Source organism: Homo sapiens, chromosome 14, assembly GCF_000001405.40.
Source record: "Homo sapiens chromosome 14, GRCh38.p14 Primary Assembly".
In the NCBI taxonomy this organism is placed as follows: domain Eukaryota; kingdom Metazoa; phylum Chordata; class Mammalia; order Primates; family Hominidae; genus Homo; species Homo sapiens.
The window spans coordinates 24,289,795-24,304,742 of NC_000014.9; the positions used below are offsets into that span (position 1 = coordinate 24,289,795).

The 14,948-nt window shown below is 48.8% G+C and overlaps 2 protein-coding genes across 11 annotated transcripts in view, besides 1 other annotated feature; one reads left to right on the forward strand and one right to left on the reverse strand.

Moving 5' to 3' along the window:
- Nucleotides 1–14,948, forward strand: part of NOP9 (NOP9 nucleolar protein) — a 37,922-nt gene that overhangs the window by 18,592 nt on the left and 4,382 nt on the right. The window contains exons 2-12 of one of the 9 annotated variants that reach the window (XM_047431054.1): nt 2,245–2,558; nt 2,643–2,806; nt 8,820–10,407; nt 10,614–11,063; nt 11,776–11,928; nt 12,171–12,312; nt 12,438–12,630; nt 13,280–13,420; nt 13,938–14,063; nt 14,247–14,483; nt 14,699–14,804. In XM_047431054.1, the coding sequence (XP_047287010.1) occupies nt 10,161–10,407; nt 10,614–11,063; nt 11,776–11,928; nt 12,171–12,312; nt 12,438–12,630; nt 13,280–13,420; nt 13,938–14,063; nt 14,247–14,483; nt 14,699–14,804 (1,795 nt within the window). In that variant the 5' untranslated portion in view covers nt 2,245–2,558; nt 2,643–2,806; nt 8,820–10,160. The other 8 variants (XM_047431052.1, XM_047431053.1, XM_047431055.1 and 5 more) reach the window with 8 other exon arrangements.
- On the reverse strand, nt 804–9,986 carry DHRS1 (dehydrogenase/reductase 1). 2 transcript variants are annotated; one of them, NM_001136050.3, is made up of 9 exons: nt 9,787–9,986; nt 9,163–9,336; nt 6,944–7,087; nt 6,715–6,794; nt 2,858–2,990; nt 2,390–2,536; nt 1,762–1,831; nt 1,345–1,425; nt 804–1,201 (listed from the first exon to the last, which is right to left on the reverse strand). In NM_001136050.3, exons 2-9 carry the CDS (start codon nt 9,310–9,312, stop codon nt 1,065–1,067), a joined length of 942 nt encoding a protein of 313 aa, NP_001129522.1. In that variant the 5' UTR covers nt 9,313–9,336; nt 9,787–9,986; the 3' UTR covers nt 804–1,064. The 2 variants fall into 2 exon arrangements, with proteins under 2 accessions (NP_001129522.1, NP_612461.1); NM_138452.3 differs by lacking the exon at nt 9,787–9,986 and adding an exon at nt 9,422–9,666.
- Nucleotides 8,540–9,330: an enhancer, noted in NCBI's record as "nonconserved acetylation island sequence 81". NCBI's record gives its function as "activates a minimal heat-shock promoter by reporter assays in Jurkat T cells {active_cell/tissue: Jurkat}" and the evidence as "EXISTENCE:reporter gene assay evidence [ECO:0000049][PMID:17135569]".

Sequence of the window (14,948 nt, forward strand, 5' to 3'; positions counted from 1 at the left end):
AGATGTGCATCAGAAGCTCTCAGAAGCTGGTGAGCCACTCCACTTACCACTGGAACAGTAACTGGGGACGGTCCCCAGAAAGCCACAGGAAGACTTCTGCCAATCTTGTGGGCAGCCTGGGGAAGCCTCAGCTCTCACTCTGAAGATTTTGAATAAGTAAAATGATTTATGTTTCTCTGATTTATGGCAGCCATCCCATCACTTTGGATGGTTATCTAGGCTGTCCGGTGGAAGGTTCCCTCAGAATAGCCCTTGGCTCCTCTTAGGAACACACCCCATTGCCTTGCCTCAGGCTAGGACAGCCTCTTGCATAGGCAAGGCAGCTCTATAGGGCTCATGCAATTAGTTCTGCAGAAAGCAATTCAGGTAGAACCATCCCGAGAGGAAGGATGAGAGTTGTCGGTGTCACAGCTATTCCTCTGTCCCTCACTTGGATTCAGGCAGTACCTTCTCCCCAAGTTCCAGGAAATCATGAACACCAAGGAATCTGCCTTTGCTGGACTGGGCCTCAGCCAGAGATCAGGCCCAGCTAGAAGGTAGCAGGCATCCCTGAAGAGATGGTGGAATGGGGGTGGAAAACCAGTGTGAGACTGGATGTGCCCACTTCTAGCTGTGGAGCGACTCTGCTCCTCAGCTGGGGCATGGGAAACAGGTCTTGCAGGGCAGAGCAGGAACAGTTCTGGAGGAAAGGGGTCTTGTCCTGGGGCAGAACCCCTTGAGAAGCTTCACATTTATACATCTTTGAGTCTTTCTCCCAAATTGTTAACATGTTGCTGAGCAGAGAATCAGCAGTCAAAAACACATTGAAAGAGAAATGAGACTTTTATTAGCTCCAAGAGCATTTTTCAATACTAAGGCAAAAAGTAAAAAGAAGGACAAGGAAAACCAAGGCACAAAGAAGGGACCTAGGCGCACCCCAGAACTCACCACGGACACACAGCAGAGGGCTTCTCTTCATATCAAGGGTATGGGTAAACAAGAAAGGCTGCTGTTTCACTGAGACAGGACGAACCACCAAGTCCAAATGAGAAGACAAGCAGAGACGTAGTGTCAGACCAGGAGGGTTAGAACTTGCTAGTGTAGAGGGCAATAATCCACTTGGGCACACGGAGGAAGGAGGGCAGGTAGGAGGCCAGCCAGCCCAGGCCGGACACGTGTGAGAGAACAGAGCTCAAAGACAAATAGTCTTGGACGGGGCGGCCTGGGAACAACAGGAGGAGGAGGATTAGATTCTCATTTCCCACTCCTCAGATACCCTCACCTTGGCTGGAGAGACCGAGGGAGGAGTGGGCAGGGAACAGAGGGAACAGCAGTCAAGGCTGACTGCTGTGCCAGGGTCCTCACCGTCCACATCCCGAAGGCCATAGCGTCGAGCAAGGTCACAGGATGGCAGCACCTTACCACTCAGGCTCAGGATATTGGGATCTGCGGGCACACAGACAGGTGGAGATGGCAGGCAGGGGAGTATGCAGAGTGACAAGGTTTGGGCCCAGTTGGACAGGGCACTGCTGAGAGCCCTGGAGCTCAGGATCCCTGGAGAGCTCTTTCTCTTGGGCCTTGGACTTTTTCCACACTTCCCAGGAGCCTGCTCCTAAGGCTCTCAGACCTCAAACTGGGAATGCTGACCCCTTGGGCCTCAAAAAGCAGAGAAAAGAATGACATGTTCCTCAACCAACTCCCGAGCCAGATCTGGGCACTGGATGCTACCGCACTACACATCCTCCATGCCCTTTCTTATTACCAGCTGCCCCCAAACTTCACCTGTTGCCAAAGCCACCACACATTTGCCACTCAATTCTGTGGTTTCCGCAGATGAGAAGGCTGATTTGAACTGAAACACAGGGGCAGAGAAGTGAAGGGTTAATTTCCAAGAGCACTGCCCAGGTCTCCTCCCCATTTCAACTTCTGTTCCAGGAGAAAAAGACCAAAGACCAAAGAGGCCAAAGACCTCAAGCAGGGCCTGTAGGACCCAAAGTATTGGCAGGTGCCAGAGCCACTCCTCCCCACATCCAGGTGAGCCCTGTGCCCTGGCACCAGGATCTGCTGTCTTTGCTAAGTGGAAGGATCTGGTAGTGCCAAATAGTGTTTGGACCTTCTAAGCTAGCTGGTGTGGGGGTCAAGTGCATGGTCTTTGGAGCTAGACAGCCTTTCCACTTAGGACATATGTGACCTTCAACAAGTTTCTAAACCTCTCTGGGTTTCAGTTTTGCCATCTGTAGAATGGAGCTGGTATCTCCCTTACAGGATTAAAGGAAATAATGTGTGTCCCATGCTCAGCCCTGCACCTGCCACAGTAAGCACCTGGTGAGTGGGAGTATCTGATCTTGTTATTGAGGATGCAGAGGCCGACTCCCCTGTTCTCTGCTTCCTTCGCCCTCCCCTTGCCAACCTGCTTCAACACAGGATCCTGCAGGACCTCCTCCTTTGCCATATGCTCCTTCAGCAGTTCTGTCTGCACAATCCCCGGCCACAGAGACACACAGCTGACCCCATGGCGCCGCAGCTCGTGGGCACAGTCAGCAGCCAGCTTGTCACACTGTGGAGAGGCGGAAGGCAGGGTAAGAGCCACCTAGCCATGTCACTTTCCTGCCCTGCCCTCTCTGCTTCTACTGTGAATGCTCCACCCACCCTGTCCTTCCCAGGAGCCCCAAGGTCTCAGCTGCCCACGCTCCCCAGTGTGATGCCTACTCTAGCCAACCAAGAGGAGCACAAGCAAAGGAACTGTCCATGGATGAGGCAGAGGAGGAGCTGAGAGGAGCCAGCCTTACCATTCTGACCACTGGGGATTGTACCTCCTGAGCTATAGGTAACATCACTGTCTTTTACCTCCTCAGCTCCTATGCCACTGGGTCCTCACCGCAGCTTTGCCCACACCATAGGGGACATTGAACATATACTGCAGGCTTCCTGGGGAGGAGATGACCACGATGAGCCCCTGGCCAGCTGGTACCATCAGCCGTGCCCCATACACTGAGCAAAAGTAGTGGCCTCTAGAAGGTGGGGCAAGGGAAGAAGGAATGAACCGTGTTAGTGCTGGCCTGGGTGCCACAGCCTCTGGCGGCTTCCCCTGCCTTCTGGTGGTTGTTGTCCACTAGGAAGGCTACACAGGGTGGGTTAGCGACCTGAGGAATTAGGGGCTTGAGGCCATATTCTGAGAGGAAAACTGGTCAAAATAACCACTGACAGATGAGAAACAGCAATCTTTGGAAGAAGAAATGGAACGCAAGAGCCCTGTCACAATAACAATTACAAACAAAATTGTTCAGGGGGAGAAAACTTAAGAAATGTATAGTGTCTACATAGAAAAACTATAAAACCATGACAATAAGTACAGACAAAATCTTTCAAAGCTAAGAACTGACATGTAAATCATCATTTCTATGTAAATCAATCCATAGATTCAGTCAAATTGGATTATAGCTCAATAAGACCTTTTGGAGGAATTGATAAAATAATCTAAAGCTCAATGAGAAGAATAAACGTGAGAACAGCCAGAAAAGCTGGGCACGGTGGCTCACGCCTGCAATCCCAGCACTTTGGGAGGCGAGGGGGGCAGATCACTTGAGCTCAGGAGTTTGAGACCAGCCTGGCCAACGTGGTGAAAGCCCATCTGTACTAAAAATACAAAAATTAGCCAGGTGTGGTGGTACGTGCCTATAGTCCCAGCTACTCGGGAGCCTGAGGCAGGAGGATCTCTTGAGCCCAGGAGGCGGAGGTTGCAGTAAGCTGAGATTGTGCCACTGCACTCTAGCCTGGCTGACAGAGTGAGATTGTCTCAAAAATAAATAAATAAATAAAAAGAAAGAGAACAGCCAGGAAAATTCCGAAAAAAGGACTAAAAAGACTAATGTCTTGTGGGTGAGGGGGATTGCTTTCCCTACCCCTGCTGTCACCCATATTAAAATGCACAGGGGCCAGGCATGGTGGCTTATGCCTGTAATCCCAGCATTTTGGGAGGCTGAGATGGGAGAATTGCTTGAGGTCAGGAGTTTGAGACCAGCCTGGCCAACACAGCAAGACCCCGTCTCTAAAAAATAAAATAAAATAAATTAAAATGTACAAGACATAATAGTTAAAAGAATGCAATACAGGTGTTAACAGTAGACTGATAAGTCAATGAAACAAAACAGAGAATAATTAGATACAAGTGTATGTGAGAACGCAATGTATTACGAAAGGAACCTGTCAAATCAGTGGGGGAAAGTTGGATCATTTGGGACAACCGACCAGTTATTTGAGTTAGGGGAATTGGGTCTCTGCCTCGTTTATTATTTTAAAATTAAGCCTAAAAGGATCAAATATTTAAATATAAAAAACGAAAGCACAGAAGTACTGAAAGAAAACATGATCAAATGTGTTTATAAACTTGAGGGAAAAGGCTTTTATTAGCGTCACACCAAGACAGAAACTATAAAAGACTGACAGATTTGACGTAAAATTAAGATACACACACATACACACACAAATACAAAGATACATGTATATTTCTGTGTATATAAAGAGCAGGGCGAGGCTGAGTATGGTGGCTCATGCCTATAATCCCAACACTTTGGGAGGCTGAGGTGGGTAGATCACTTGAGATCAGGAGTTCGAGACCAGCCCAGCCAACACGGTGAAACCCCGTTCTCTACTAAAAATACAAAAATTAGCCAGGCGTGGTGGCAGGTGCCTGTAATCCCAGCTACTCGGGAGGTTGAGGTATGAGAATCGCTTGAACCCAGGAGGCAGAGGTTGCAGTGAGCTGAGATTGCACACTGCACTCTAGCCTGGGTGACAGAGCGAGATTCCACCTCAAAACAACAACAACAACAACAACAACAACAACAACAACAGACGAGTGGGGGGAGTATGCGTGTGAAAAATGAGTGATAAATTGGGAAAAATATTTGTAAAATAAATGCCAAAGTCATTTGTTTCACAGTGATCTCTTATAAATTAATGCGAAAGTCAAAGATGATTTACAAAAGAACAAAGAGCCAATAAACAAAGGGGAAAAAAAGTTCAACCTGACAAATAGTGGAAGAAGTATGAATTAAAACCCCTTTATATATTTTCGGCTTATTATAGTAACAAAGCTTGCCTGAGTGCATGAGCTGACGCTGCCTGGTGTGGTAGAGGACATGGGGAAACACATATTCCCCTTCATTGTCTTGATATAAAAAATTGGTAGGGTCTTTTTGTAGGAGAGCTTGATAATATTTATTAAATCTTTAAAAAGTACATATTCTTTGTTTTCTTTTCTTTTTTTCTATTTTTCCCACAGTCTCTATAACCTAAGGGAAGTACATATTCTTTGATCTAAGAATTCCACTGCTGCAACAAATAAGGGATTAGAGAAATAAATGATCATACATCCTCCCAATAGAATACGTACAAGTATTAAAAAGAATGAGAGATATTTACATGAAAAATCTGAAAGAATATATGCCAGGCTATTAATAGTAGCTATATATCAGGCAAGAGAGCAAGGGATGGCACTGAGGGGAATAAGATTATACTGGTCTTCAGATTTTTTCCATATTTAAAAAAAGTAACACACACATAACTTGGTAACCAGAATAAATTTCTTTTGCATAGGGAAAGAATTAGGACCTTCCAAATGAAAACAAGTAGAGTTATAGTTTTAAAGGAAAGTGCAGCCCAAGGTAATACAGAGGAAAGGCAGTAAATGCGCATGGGGAATGGGTGGGCAGGAGGTGCTGGGGGGCTGTCAGGGGCTCATCAAGGGGCCTTTACCTTGGATAATTCATCAGGGCCCAAGGTCGAGGGTCTGGGCCTCTGCCTTGAATCTCTGCTTCAGGGTCAAAACCCTGGCCAGCAAGAGATGAGGGTGTGGAAGGCACCTCTCTTTGGAGGCTATGGTCATGAACACTGGCCAATTTCCAGCTCTTAACGTGTCCCTTTCTTGCCTTTGGCCTCACCATCCTCCTCTGTCCTAATGATCTTCCTTCCACTTTGGAAATCACAATTGCATTCTAATCCTGCTTCCTTGGGATTGTTACCAGAGTACCAAAATTGGAGCGGTGGGTGTTCTTACATGCTTTAGTCACAGATTTGCCGATAATCTCGTGGTTACTCCCACAGGTGACTGATCACATCCATCAGGCATGACTTGATTATATGAGAGTGTAACATCATTCCAACAGTAACAGAGGCATAACTGGTGTGCATTATGCTAGGCGAATTCTAAATGCTGTGTTTCATCTCACTCCTGGGCTAAATGACCCTGTGTGACCCAGTGATGTACCTGCTCTCCCAACTCTGACCCGGCAGTGCCCTTGCCTGTGGGTGTGGAGTGAGGATGTGGAGACTAAACAGCATTGGTGTTCGCTCCTTCTTCTTAAGCTTCTCCCAGTCTAAAATAAAACAATTTCTCCCTCTAACCATTTTGAAAGTATAGACTACAGGCTGTGCGCATTACTGAGAGGAGGAGGCTTCCTCCCTTCTGGGTCTTGCATTTGGATGGGCAGAGAGTGAGACAGGAGAGAGGCCAAGGGCTTGTTCCAATGAAAATTACTGACAGAGTTGACATTCTCAGGTACAGACTCACCTGGATGGAACTTCTCCAGAGGTAAGTGGGACAAATGGAATGGAAGGGAGAAGAAAGAGATGGGGGAGGCCGGAGGGAAAAGGAGAGGGCATGTAAGGAAAGGCCTGGCCGTCGAGTTGGCTAAGTGAGTGAGGGAACATGGGTCCTGGCAGTGGAGCACCCACCTGAGTCCGACGTTGTTGATATCATCCCACATGGAGGCAGGGGTTTCCCAGAATGCCTTATTCCTGGTGTTCAGGATCGTCTGGAAGGCACAGGGAGGGTGATGAATGATCTGAAGGTAGGGAGGTGTGAGGGGCTGGGTAATGGAAGGGACAATGAGTGGGGATGAAGATGCAGGGGTCTGAGGGGGAGGTCAGAAATGTGGAGTTGGGAACAAAGTTCAAAGGGTACCTGGACCCCTGCATAAGCATTGTTGACCAGCACATCTAGACGCCCTTGCTGTTCCCGATCCACTTGCTCAAACAGGCTTCGCACTTCACTCTCCTGGCTTGAATCGCACACCACAGGCACACATTGGCCCCCGAGGGATTGTGCCTGGAGTAGGACAGGGGATATGAGCTCACATTCACACATGGGTGTGAGTCATGACAAAACTCCCCAACCAAAGTGGGCTTGAGAACTGAGAAGACAATCAATCCTAGGAGAGCCTGCTGCAGAGGCAACATGGCAGGCAACGCTGCCCTCTGGTGTCTGTTTGAGTAGTTTCAGGAATGATAGGCCTCCCCACCACAGAGCAAGGTGAATTGCAATGTAAGTTTTAATAATCTACAAACATTTACTGAGGCCCACCATGTGCACAGCATTGTACTTTGCAAGTAGAGGGTAAGAACAAGTGAGGCATGGAGTCTGCTCTTGAGAAATGAGTAAGCATCCTTTTCCTTGTTGTGGTCATTTCCATCTCTCATGCCCTTAGCTCCCACCCTACACTACTCACCTAAAACCTCTACTCAGTCCCAGTTGTCTTACCCTCACTCCACCAATGCTCCTGGTTGGTAATTGAAAAAACCAAAGCTATCAGCCATGAATGATTTCTACTTCCTGTTCTGTCTCACTCTCTACAAATGCCCACAAACCTCCAACTTCAGAGGAAGAAGAGTCCTTTATCTAAGAACAATCCTCCTATTCTCCAAATTTATGCTCTGGGTCCCCGCCTATTACCCTCCTTGCCTGAACTACTGCAATGCCTCCCAACGACTCACCTGACCTCCAGTCTGTCTGCCTTAAATTAATTCTTCATAATCCAGCCAGTACGACCTATCTAAAACACAAACCCTGTTCAAAATCTCCTAACTGGATCTCCATCTCTTAGAGGATGAAGCCTGAGTTCTCTATTAGGGTCTTCCAAGACCCACTCTTTCCTCTCCAGCCTCTCACTCACTACTCTTCCCTTGCATTATCTCACACATCTACTCTTTCACACAGCGTCCCTATGCTTATGGAGCTCCCTCTGCTGGAATGCTTTTCCTAACTTCCTTTACCTAATTCTTACCTTTCAAAACTCAGTTCAAGAACCACCTACCTCCTCCAGGACGCTTTCCCAAACCACTTTCCCTAGCCACTCTCCTATGTCATCTGGATGCTCCCCAACACCCCTAGAGTATTCTGTGCATATCTCCCTCTTATAATTTACCATATTCACATTACATTGAAGTGACTGCTTTCTGTACCTGACTTCCTGTTGGAATCTATCTTCATTTTTAATTAAAATTTTTTTTTTTAGAGACAGGGTCTCACTGTCACCAGGCTGGAGTGCAGTGGTGCAATCATAGCTCACTGCAACCTCGAACTCCTGGGCTCAAACGATCCTCCTGCCTCAGCCTCCCAAGTAGATGGTACTACAGGTGCAGGCCACTGTGCCTAGCTAATTATTTAAAAAATATTTTTTGTAGAGACTGGGTCTAGCTATGTTGCCCAGACTGGTCTCCAACTGCTGGCCTCAAGTGATCTTGCTGCCTTGGCCACCCAAAGTGCTGGGACTACAGGCATGAGCCACTGTACTCCACCATGGACTGAATCTTTGAAGAGCAGAAATTAGATTTTATTAGTCTTGGTAACTTCAGTGGTTTACCAATGCCTAGCAAATCATGGATACTCAAATATTTATTTAACTGAAGTCTAGTAAATAAGTAAAAAATGTGCAGTTCAATAAAGTCTTGCCTGAAATAGAGGAAAGCACAGGTCCACAACCCTTTAGTTGCAATTCCAAAATCTCTGCTCTCAAACAAAAAGTTTTTTACTTTTCTTTCTTTTCTTTTTTTTAATACAGTGTCTCGCTGTGTCGTCTAGACTGGAGTGCAGTGGTGTGATCATGGCTCAACTCCTAGGCTCAAGCGATCCTCCTGCCTCAGCCTCCGGAGTAGCTGCTGGGACTGCAGGAACGTGCCACCATGCCTGGCTCAAACACAAAGTTTTTTCATAAAACTCACTTGGCGGCAAAATTCTACCTTACCTGAAGTTATTTACGGGGTTTTTAATTTCCACTTTGAATAAATATTCACATCTTGTTGAGTAGTATTATAGTTTCAGGTAAGGGATTAGGAAAGGAGCTGTTAAGTGGAAGGGCTCTCTCGGGTGGTTTCTGCAACTGTGGTCCCAGAGGAAGCACTCACCTCCTGAGCAACAACGCGAAGGGTGTCCAGATGGCGGCCAGTGATGTAAACTGTGGCGCCTGCTTTGCAGAGCTGCAAGGCAATGCCACGGCCAATACCCCTGGAGGCACCAGTCACCACACACACTTGGCCATTCATGGGAGCTGCCATGACTCACAGGCAAAGGAGGCAGGTCTGTGGAAGCAAAGACTTACTCTGAGGGAAGCCTGGAGACTGTGTGTGTGTTGGGGCGAGGTTGGGGGGTAGGGGAGAACCTCACTAGGGCTAAGAGGAGGAGCCAAGGTAAGAATCCTTTGAGGGGAGAGGAGTCAGAGGCTGACAACTGGGTGCGGGCCTGAGGACAAGGCTGACTGTCTTTTGGGAGGCCCAGAGAGTGAAGAAGGGGCTGAGTGGGACTGTCCAGAGGTGGACAACTACTACAACCCTCTGAGTGTGGCTGCCTGGATATGGGAATCTGGCGCGGCAGCCCCTCGGGGCGCGTCCACGCAGAGTCCTGGGCTATCTGAAGCTCCGGTCCCTGGCCTGACCCAGTCCGGCTGAGCCAGAGGCGCAGCTTCCGGGCCGGGGATGAGCGCGAAGCCTGGAGATCCTAAGCCCTAAGTGGGACGAGCGTGCGCCGCTTACCTGCCACCTGCGCTGCCGCTGAGGTCTGCAGATTGCGGGGCTGCGGTGGAAGTCTGGGTTCTCGCCCAGATTGAGCCGGCGACGTGGAGGCAGTGTTCAAGGATTGATTCTGTAGTAGGACCCGGGGCGATTCTGTGCTGAGGTAGAGGGGCAGAGTCCCAGGCCAAAGTTAGAACCTGCGGATGGGGGCGGAGCGATCTGGGTGACACACCCACCCCGCCCGGCTGGGGCGGCGCGGAACTATGACGTAGTAGCTGCGTCAGGAGCGCGCCCGCGTTTCTAAACTTTGTCTGGATAAGGCGCACGCTTGGCGACGTCGAAGGTCCGTCCGCAGTTAAGGAAGCTTTTGCAGCCGGACAGGTCGCGAAGCACACATGGGGCAGGGTCCGCGCTCTCCACACAAGGTGGGGCGCCGGTTCCCAGCTGGTGGCAAACGGGGGCGCGGGGCCAAGGGGTCGGGGCGCCCCTTACCAGGCCGTAAGCGGCAACCCTGGCCGCCTCCGGATGGGCGCTCGGAGCCGGCTCCAGATTCGCACCCGCACCTGAGCCCGGAAGCTCTGGGATATTTCCGCCGGGCGCTGTCAGCATTGAAAGAGGCTCCCGAGACTGGGGAAGAACGAGGTAGGCAGCAACTTCGGGGTTTAGACCAAGAGCATCAAATCCAGGGCAGGCAAGGAAACTTTCTAGGGTCGGCAGGGCGTGGGGACTTAGTTTCATTTCCCATGTCCTCTTCCTCGGCCTCCGACCCACGACCCTTGGTTAAGCGAGGGTACATAACTGTATTCTCTACTAAGTCTCTTCAAAGTGTGTCTTTCTTCCCTTTTCAGATCTGATGGTGCACAATATAATGAAGGAAGTAGAGACTCAGGCCCTAGCTTTGTCCACGAACAGGACTGGCAGTGAGATGCTGCAGGAACTGTTGGGATTCAGTCCCTTGAAACCGCTTTGTCGCGTGTGGGCTGCTCTGCGCTCTAACTTGCGCACTGTGGCCTGTCACCGATGCGGGGTCCATGTATTACAAAGTGCTTTGCTACAGCTCCCTCGATTGCTGGGGAGTGCTGCAGAGGAGGAGGAGGAGGAGGAGGAGGATGGAAAGGATGGTCCCACGGAGACCCTGGAGGAGCTGGTCCTGGGACTAGCCGCTGAGGTGTGTGATGATTTTCTTGTCTACTGTGGAGACACACATGGCAGCTTCGTGGTCAGAACTCTGCTTCAGGTGTTAGGAGGGACTATTCTGGAGTCTGAGAGAGCCAGGCCCCGTGGTTCCCAATCATCTGGTAAGTATTACAAGAGGAAAGTGGACCTAGGGGGAAGAAGAATTTAGAAAGTTCAGAATGAGACAGTAAACAGAAGAGTAAGTCTTCATGGGGGAGCTTGACCGGGAAGAATTAGCTTGACCTGTCCTAATCTGAACAGGGCTTAGCAAGCCAAAGATTAGTGTGTGCGGAGGCCCAGAGGTAGGGATGTACAGTTGTGTTTGGGGAAGGCTATTAGAATGGACGCAGGAGGAGAATTTTTTTTAAGCATGACTTAATATACAAATGGACTTAAGCAAAAGTAACATACACACTGGACTCAAGCAAAAGTTCAGGAAACTATACCCTTACTACATGCAGCCCACTCTGTTATTTTTTTTTCCTTTTCAAAACTATTCTGCTCTATTTCATTTAAAAAAAATGCTAGTTGAGACCACTAACTTGATTTCATGGTACAGTCTTGAGCTGTGATCCACATTTTGAAAAACTAGGAAATAAAGTTAGCGAGTTTAAATGAGGCTTTATTTTGGAATGGCTTGAATACCTGGCTGAGGAGGTTGAACTGTCTTCTGTGGACCATGGGGAAGCTGGTTGAAGTTTCTTAGAAAAATTAAGACAGAAATGTAGTCTCAGTTCAGTCATCCAGAAGAGACATTTAGTTGTACTACATCTGTTCTGCATCTCCAAGCGGAATCCTTGTTCATCTGTGAAATTTTTCTCTCCTGGATGGCAGTTTGTGATCTCCCCACTGCACATGTTCTTAATCTTCCTTCAGAAGCACAGAAGACCCCAGCTCAGGAATGTAAGCCAGCTGATTTTGAAGTCCCTGAAACCTTTTTGAATCGCCTTCAGGACCTGAGCTCCTCCTTTCTGAAGGACATTGCAGGTAAGGAGGGAAGTAGGAGGATGGTCTCGTATCTACTTGTCTGGAGGTCATCTTACCACCAAGCAAGGCCCTTACCTCAGGTTATTCCTCTTCTTTTCAAACCTGGTCTGGTTTGACGTTCAGAGCACTTTGTATAGTCCCTTTGTGTCCATAGTGCCCTGTATCTTGTTGCCTAAAGTTTGAGGTTACGCAGGTTGTCTGGATTTTGGGAAAGCCGCTTTATTTCTGCCCTCTCTCCACAGTGTTTATCACTGATAAGATCTCCAGCTTCTGTCTTCAAGTGGCTTTACAGGTTTTACACCGCAAACTTCCCCAGTTTTGCGCTCATCTCTGCAATGCTGTGATTGGCTACCTGAGTACTCGCGGTTCCTCAGTAGATGGCAGGTATGGTCAGGGCCTCAGGATCGACCCAAGTTGGCGGGGCTGTGTGAAATGAATGAGGTGATGTAGTGCAACTGTATTTTGCATGAAATGGAGTTAAGACTGCCTGATGCCCTTCTTGTCCCTAGTCCCCTACTGCTATTTCTCCGAGATCAGACGAGTTCCAGACTCCTGGAGCAGGTCCTGCTGGTGTTGGAGCCCCCAAGACTCCAGAGCCTCTTTGAGGAGCACTTGCAGGGGCAGCTGCAGACCCTGGCTGCACATCCCATTGCCAACTTCCCTTTGCAGCGCTTACTGGATGCAGTCACTACCCCTGAGCTGGTGAGTTGGAAACCTGAGCTGGATCTGTTTCTGCTAATTCTTGATCACTGGACCTTATTTTATGGTCTGTCTGCCTCTATATACCTTTGACATTGTGCTGGCCATTGCCCTTGAAAAGCTATTCTTTGAGGTTTTCCAGAGCTTAGGATAAAGGTGCCCACCTTCTAGTGAGGATTTGTTTTGACTTCTCTCAGGTATGAGGACCAGCAAGAAACTGGCTTTATTCAGGTTTACAGCTTGAGGTTCCATGGCCCACCCAGACTCTGGTACTTGGCTATAAGCCCACATGAGTGCTAGAGCTGTTGCCATAGCTTCTCTTTTCCTTTGCTGCTTAGGACTAAGGTGGGCTTCCCTGTGGTCTCATGCATTGGGTGTTAGAGTGGAAGTGCAGTTTAATTTTAGTCTCCCCTTGCTCCTAGTGCTCCCTTACACATAGGGAAGAGCCACTTAAAGTTCCTTCCTGTGAGGTGGCACCTCTAAGACTGCCCCCTTATCCTGGGCCTTATCTAGCCAAACAAAAGTCCTGATACTGGCAATGCTTTTTATGTTTTATCTAGCATTTTTAGTTGTTTTCGTTGGGAAGATTTCTCTGAATAATGTGGTCCGCCATTACCAGAATGCCAGAGTTACATTCCATGTTTCCCATCAGCTGTCCCCTGTGTTTGAGGAGCTGAGCCCTGTCTTGGAAGCTGTATTGGCCCAGGGCCACCCAGGGGTAGTCATTGCCCTGGTGGGGGCCTGTCGCAGAGTTGGGGCCTACCAAGCCAAGGTCCTACAGCTCTTGTTGGAGGTGAGTGGATATTACCCACAATCTGTTTATGCCCTCAGTTCAACTTCTACCTTTTAGGACTTATCTAATCTTAAGTTTTTGTACCTCTGGACTCAGGAAGTCTAATGCCCAAGGAGTTCACAGGAATGGGGGAAAATGAGGCCTATAGGTGCCCGCCACCATACCCAGCTAATTTTTTTTTTTTTTTTTGAGACGGAGTTTTGCTCTTGTTGCCCAGGCTGGAGTGCAGTGGCGCAATCTCAGCTCACCGTGCCCGGCTGAGGCCAAATGTTATTTCACAGTCCTGGAACAAAAATTGTCTCCCAGAACTAAGAGAGAAGTTTATTTAAGGGATAAACATTTATTAACCCCTGTATGTGATAGAGGCTGGGGATACAGCAAGGCATGACATCTGCTTTCATGGAGCTAACATTCTTGTGGAGTTGGGCCTTCTTTCCTTTCCTGAAGGTGTTCCCTTAAAGTTGAGGTAAGGGACGGAGAAGTTCTCAGGTTCATCATATTCTGTCTTCTCCTTTAGGCATTCCACTGTGCAGAGCCCTCATCCCGGCAAGTGGCCTGTGTGCCTCTCTTTGCCACTTTGATGGCTTATGAGGTGTACTATGGACTGACGGAGGAGGAGGGGGCAGTGCCTGCAGAGCACCAGGTGAGGTAGGGGAGAGGCCAAGCCAGTGACTAATTGGGAGTCAGGCCTCCCAGGGTTTAGCAAGCGTCTGACTTCTGAGGTGAGAGTGGTGACTTCATCCAGGTGGAGGTGGCAGTGTTCTGGGGATGGGCTCATCCACCTGGCTTGTTGGTGCCTCCTAATTTCTTATCTCTGCGCTGCCAGGTGGCAATGGCCGCAGCCAGAGCCTTGGGGGATGTGACAGTCCTTGGGTCTCTACTGCTCCAGCATCTGCTGCACTTCTCCACTCCTGGTCTTGTACTTCGAAGTCTGGGTGCCTTGACGGGACCACAGCTTCTGTCCCTTGCCCAAAGTCCCGCTGGCTCTCATGTGCTCGATGCCATCCTGACCAGCCCCTCTGTGACGCGCAAGCTGCGCCGCCGTGTGCTGCAGAACCTAAAGGTTAGATTTCTGGCTTTTGCCTTGATTCCCCACCATCATCCATTTAGAGAATATGAGCTTTCCCTGGACTGTACCTTCAGACTCAAAAAGGCTATGTAATTCCTAGACTATTTTAATTCAGCCCTTAAACTCTTCAGAAAATTCACTCTCCACAAGCCTCCAAAATACTTTTGTGGATTTTGCTAGGGAGACCTACTTTGCTTGTCTCCATACAGGGACAATATGTGGCTCTGGCCTGTAGTCGCCATGGCAGCCGTGTGCTAGATGCCATCTGGAGTGGAGCAGCCTTGAGGGCCCGGAAGGAAATTGCTGCTGAGCTTGGTGAGTACCAGCCCCTCTCTTTGATGTTTCCAGACTCTCCCCTCTCTTACTCCAGATCACTGGGTAGCTGGGAAGTCTACTGAAATTCAACAGTCTTTAGTTCCAAAGGGTGGTCTTGCTCATGGGTTCTTAGCAGTCTGCTTT